Source organism: Homo sapiens, chromosome 18 (assembly GCF_000001405.40).
Source record: "Homo sapiens chromosome 18, GRCh38.p14 Primary Assembly".
NCBI classification, from domain to species: Eukaryota; Metazoa; Chordata; class Mammalia; order Primates; family Hominidae; genus Homo; species Homo sapiens.
Window position 1 is genome coordinate 51,250,722 of NC_000018.10, and position 4,219 is coordinate 51,254,940.

The following is a 4,219-nucleotide window of genomic DNA, read 5'->3' on the forward strand; positions in this document are numbered from 1 at the left end:
AGCATTTTCTCTAAACTTTTTTCTGAGAGACAGGGAGACTCTGTAAATCATTAAATGAAGACTATCTTAGTCTAAACTCTTAACAGGTCTCATCTTTGCTCTAGGCTACGTGTGTCAGGATTAGGCGAGCCTTCACTGTGAGGGGCTGGTGCACTGTGGCGCCTGTTAAATAGAGCATTAGGGATAGAAGCAGCAGGATTTTGAAGTGTGTTCAACAAAATGGAAGCTGAATGAAATGAATCCACAGAGCCAGGTAACTGCCAAGGGTACACTTTTGAGAGAGGGAAAACTGTGGATTGTATAGTCAGTTTCTCTTCAGAAAAGAGCACCACTCAGGTCAATTTAAATAGATTTGGCTACCCTCAAGGGATAGGTTGCAGGCATATTGCGAGTTTCATCCCCATCCCCATAATCAATATATTTGCCAATGAGGTGTCATCGGTCTGTGCATCCAGGGCCAGCCTTGAAAGAAGGGAAATTGGGATGATACTTCTTCCAAGGCCAAGTGCAGCTTAAGGGGTATGTGGGGAGAGGCTAGGGAGGAAGATCCCAGACCCAGCTGCGGAGCCCAGCCCTCTGCTTTTTTAGTTGCTAATTTCTGTAGGGGCGGTTTCACATATTTTCAGTAAAAGCTCAGAGTAGCACTCCCTCCCAACTCATCTGGTTCTTTTTGTTTATTTGGCTTGTTTATTTGTTTTGAGACAGGGTCTTATTCTGTAACCCAGGCTGGAATGCAGTGGCACAATCACAGCTCACTGCAGCCTCAACCTCCCAGGCTCAAGCAATCCTCCCACCTCAGCCTCCCAAGTAGCTGAGACTACAAGCATGTGCCACCACGCCCAGCTATTTTAAAAAAAATTTTGTAGAGATGAGATCTCTCCATGTTACCCAGGCTGGTCTCGAACTCCTGGACTTAAGGGATCCCCCTGCTTTGGCCTCCCCAAGGGCTGGGATTACAGGAATGAGCTACAGTGCCTGGCCCCATCTGGCTCTTGCAGTAGCATCTTCTCAACTTCCTCAACTTCACACCCCTGAACCAACAGCCAGTTCTGTCTGTGATTCCCCAGGGTTGGCACAGCAAGTCAAGAGAAAGATAGGGGCAGTCTGCAGACACAGATGCAAGGGGTGCTTGAGGCAGGGAGGAGTTTCTGTTGTTATTAATTCCCCTTTCACTTCCCCTTACCCCTTACCTGGTCTCTGCCTGCTCAGTCTCTGTACCTTACTTGTAAGATCTATGTTTCTGAAGTCCTGGCCTTTCCCTGTGGCTTCCCTCTTCCCACCTTGTGAAACTTTTGATGGTCTTTAAAGCTTAATTCAAGTGCTACCTCCTCTGGGAAGGCTTCTTGCCTGGCATGCTTGGAAGCCCCTCATCTGTGTTCCTATCACATTTAGTACCTCTGTCTTTCAAAGAGTTTATACTGTTTAGTCAATGTCTGTTTTCATGGTTATCTTTCCCCATAATTTGCTGAATTCCTTGAGGGCACGAACAAAATTTTTTATTTCTATATATTCTAGACCTTTCAGTCTTGGCCCACAGTAGGTCTTGAATAAATGTCTATTGACCAATATGAATAAAGAGAATTTAGGGGGCCCATCAGAATCTCCCTGGGTAGGGTTTTCAATGTATACATTGCCAGGCTCCAGCCCTAGAAATACAGATGCTCTAATCTAGACTGGGGTTCTTGAATCTGCCTTTTGAAAAAACCTCATGTGATTTTATTTATTTATTTACTTATTTATTTTTATTTTTTATTTTTTTGAGGTGGAGTTTCACTCTTGTTGCCCAGACTGGAGTGCAATGGTGTGATCTCGGCTTACCGCAACCTCCACCTCCCGGGTTCAAAGTATTCTTCTGTCTCAGCTTGCTGAGTAGCTGGGATCACAGGCATGCGCCACCACGCCTAGCTAATTTTTTTTTTTTTTTTTGTATTTTTAGTAGAGACGAGGTTTCACCATGTTGGCCAGGCTGGTCTCGAACTCCTGACCTCAAATGTTCCACCCACTTTGGCCTCCCAAAGTGCTAGGATTACAGGCGTGAGCCATCGCGCCCGGCTTTTTTAATTTTTTTATTTTCTTTTATTTATTTATTTTTTGAGACAGAGTCTTGCTCTATCGCCCAGGCTGGAGTGCAGTGGTGCCATCTCACTGCAACCTCCACCTCCCAGACTCAAGCTATCCTTCCACCTCAGCCTCCTGAGTAGCTGGGACTACAGGTGTGCACCACCAAGTTGGCTAATTTTTGTATTTTTTATAGAGGCAGGTTTTCGCCATGTCGCACAGGCTGGTCTTGAACTCATGAGCTTACATGATCTGCCCACGGTGGCCGCCCAAAGTGCTGGGATTACAGGTGTGAACTACCGTGCCCAGCCTATATTCATCTTAAAATGTAAAAGAGGCTGGGTGTGGTGATTCATTCCTGTAATCCCAGCACTTTGGGAGGCCAGGGCAGGAGGATCACTTGAGCCCAGGAGGTTGAGACCAGCCTGAGCAACACAGGGACACCCCTGTCTCTACAGAAAAAAAAAAATTAGCTGGGCATGGAGGCATGCACTTGTGGTCCCAGCTACTCAGGAGCCTGAGGCGGGAGTTTCCCTTGAGCCTAGGAGTTCAAGGCTGCAGTAAGCAGTGATCATTGCACTACACTCCAGCCTGGGCAACAGAGAGAGATGATGTCTCAAAAAAAAAAAAACAAATAGAGATGTGTTAGGAAGAGGAGATTCAGTGAGACATGAAACAAAATATCAGTATGAGACTAAAGTTCTCTGGTTCTTCAATAACAATAACTATCATTAATGATAATAAACCCCATTGTATTTGGAAGTATAGACACTACTGATGATGTTGCAGATGTTGGAGGGAAAAGCCATGATCACACTCAGCTGATGGCAGTGTGCAAACAATCCAGCCCAGATCAGCCCAGCTTTTTTGTTTATAAAGTGCGTAGACAGCATCTGCTTAAATAAACAAAGAGCCACCCTTGGGTTGTTGATTGTTGAAGGAGGGAGAGATGTGGAGAATTTAGTCCAGTGATCTCATTTTAGAGATGAGGAAACTAAGGCTCAGGGAGGGGCAGTGACCTCATGTGCAGTAACCATTTAATGGAACCGCCGGGCCTAGAATCGAGTTTCCTGACTCTCTGCACACTGGTTATTCCTGAACAATCTACCTAAATGTTCCTAGGTTCGGGGAAAGTCTACTAATTCCCCCAAGAGTCCCAGAGTGTCCCAGTCAGCCCAATCCATGCCCTACCCTGAACTGCCCAACCCCTTCCCAATCTTCTCCCACCTTTGCCTCCAGGGTTATTTTTCCAAAAGTCAGTGCCAATCAGGGCCTTCCTCCCCACCACAGAAATTTATGCTGGGTTCTCAGAGTAATAAAATAAACTCTAAACTCCTCAGCAAGGCACTGCAGGTCCCTTGCTTTGTGATCCAAGTGGAGCCTGCTCTGATGTCATCTCCCGTCCCTCTTCCATGCCCCGACAGACAGGGCACTGTGGCTTGCCTGCTCACATGCATTCCTGACCCTCCTCTTCTGTCTGGCAGAGCCCAAAACCTATTAGAGAGGTTGCAAAGGCTAAATGCTCTCTTTTCCCATTCAGTTGAACCCAGAGCATAGGGTTGTGAGCCAGCACTGCCCGTCAGGATGATGCCCATGGACACCTACTGTGGGGGATAGAGGTAGCTTTGGTTTTTCTCCTTCTAAAATAGAGGGATGTACATAGAGAGGCCCTTCCACCTTCTTCCTGGTTTCGGAGGACGTGGCATGAGCACTTGGTAATGAAGCTGCTGCAGTTATCTCGCAGTCCTGAGGGAGAAGGCCAAAGAATCCCAGAGAAGCTGCCCCACAGGCCAGATATCACCAACCCAGATCAACCAGCGCTGGAACTTTCCACAGCTGGACTTATTGTTATATAAAATATAAATATATTATATGGTAATCTATAACAAATGACTAAATAATAAACTTACAAATTCACAATTACTTAAGTCTTCCATTACTTGCATGCTGACCGATACAATAGCTGTTCTTTGTTTCTTTTTTTTTTTTTTTGAGATGGAGTCTTGCTCTGTTGCCCAGGCTGGAGTGCAGTGGCGCCATCTTGGCTCACTGCAGCCTCCTCCTCCTGGGTTCAAGTGATTCTTCTGCCTCAGCCTCCTGACTCAGTAGCTGGGATTACAGGCCCCTGCCATCATGCCCAGCTAATTTTTGTATTTTTAGT

General features: G+C 46.1%; 1 annotated feature.

Moving 5' to 3' along the window:
• Window positions 1,138-1,247: a silencer, noted in NCBI's record as "silent region_9469". NCBI's record gives its function as "represses an Ori minimal core promoter by ATAC-STARR-seq in GM12878 lymphoblastoid cells {active_cell/tissue: GM12878}" and the evidence as "EXISTENCE:reporter gene assay evidence [ECO:0000049][PMID:35858748]".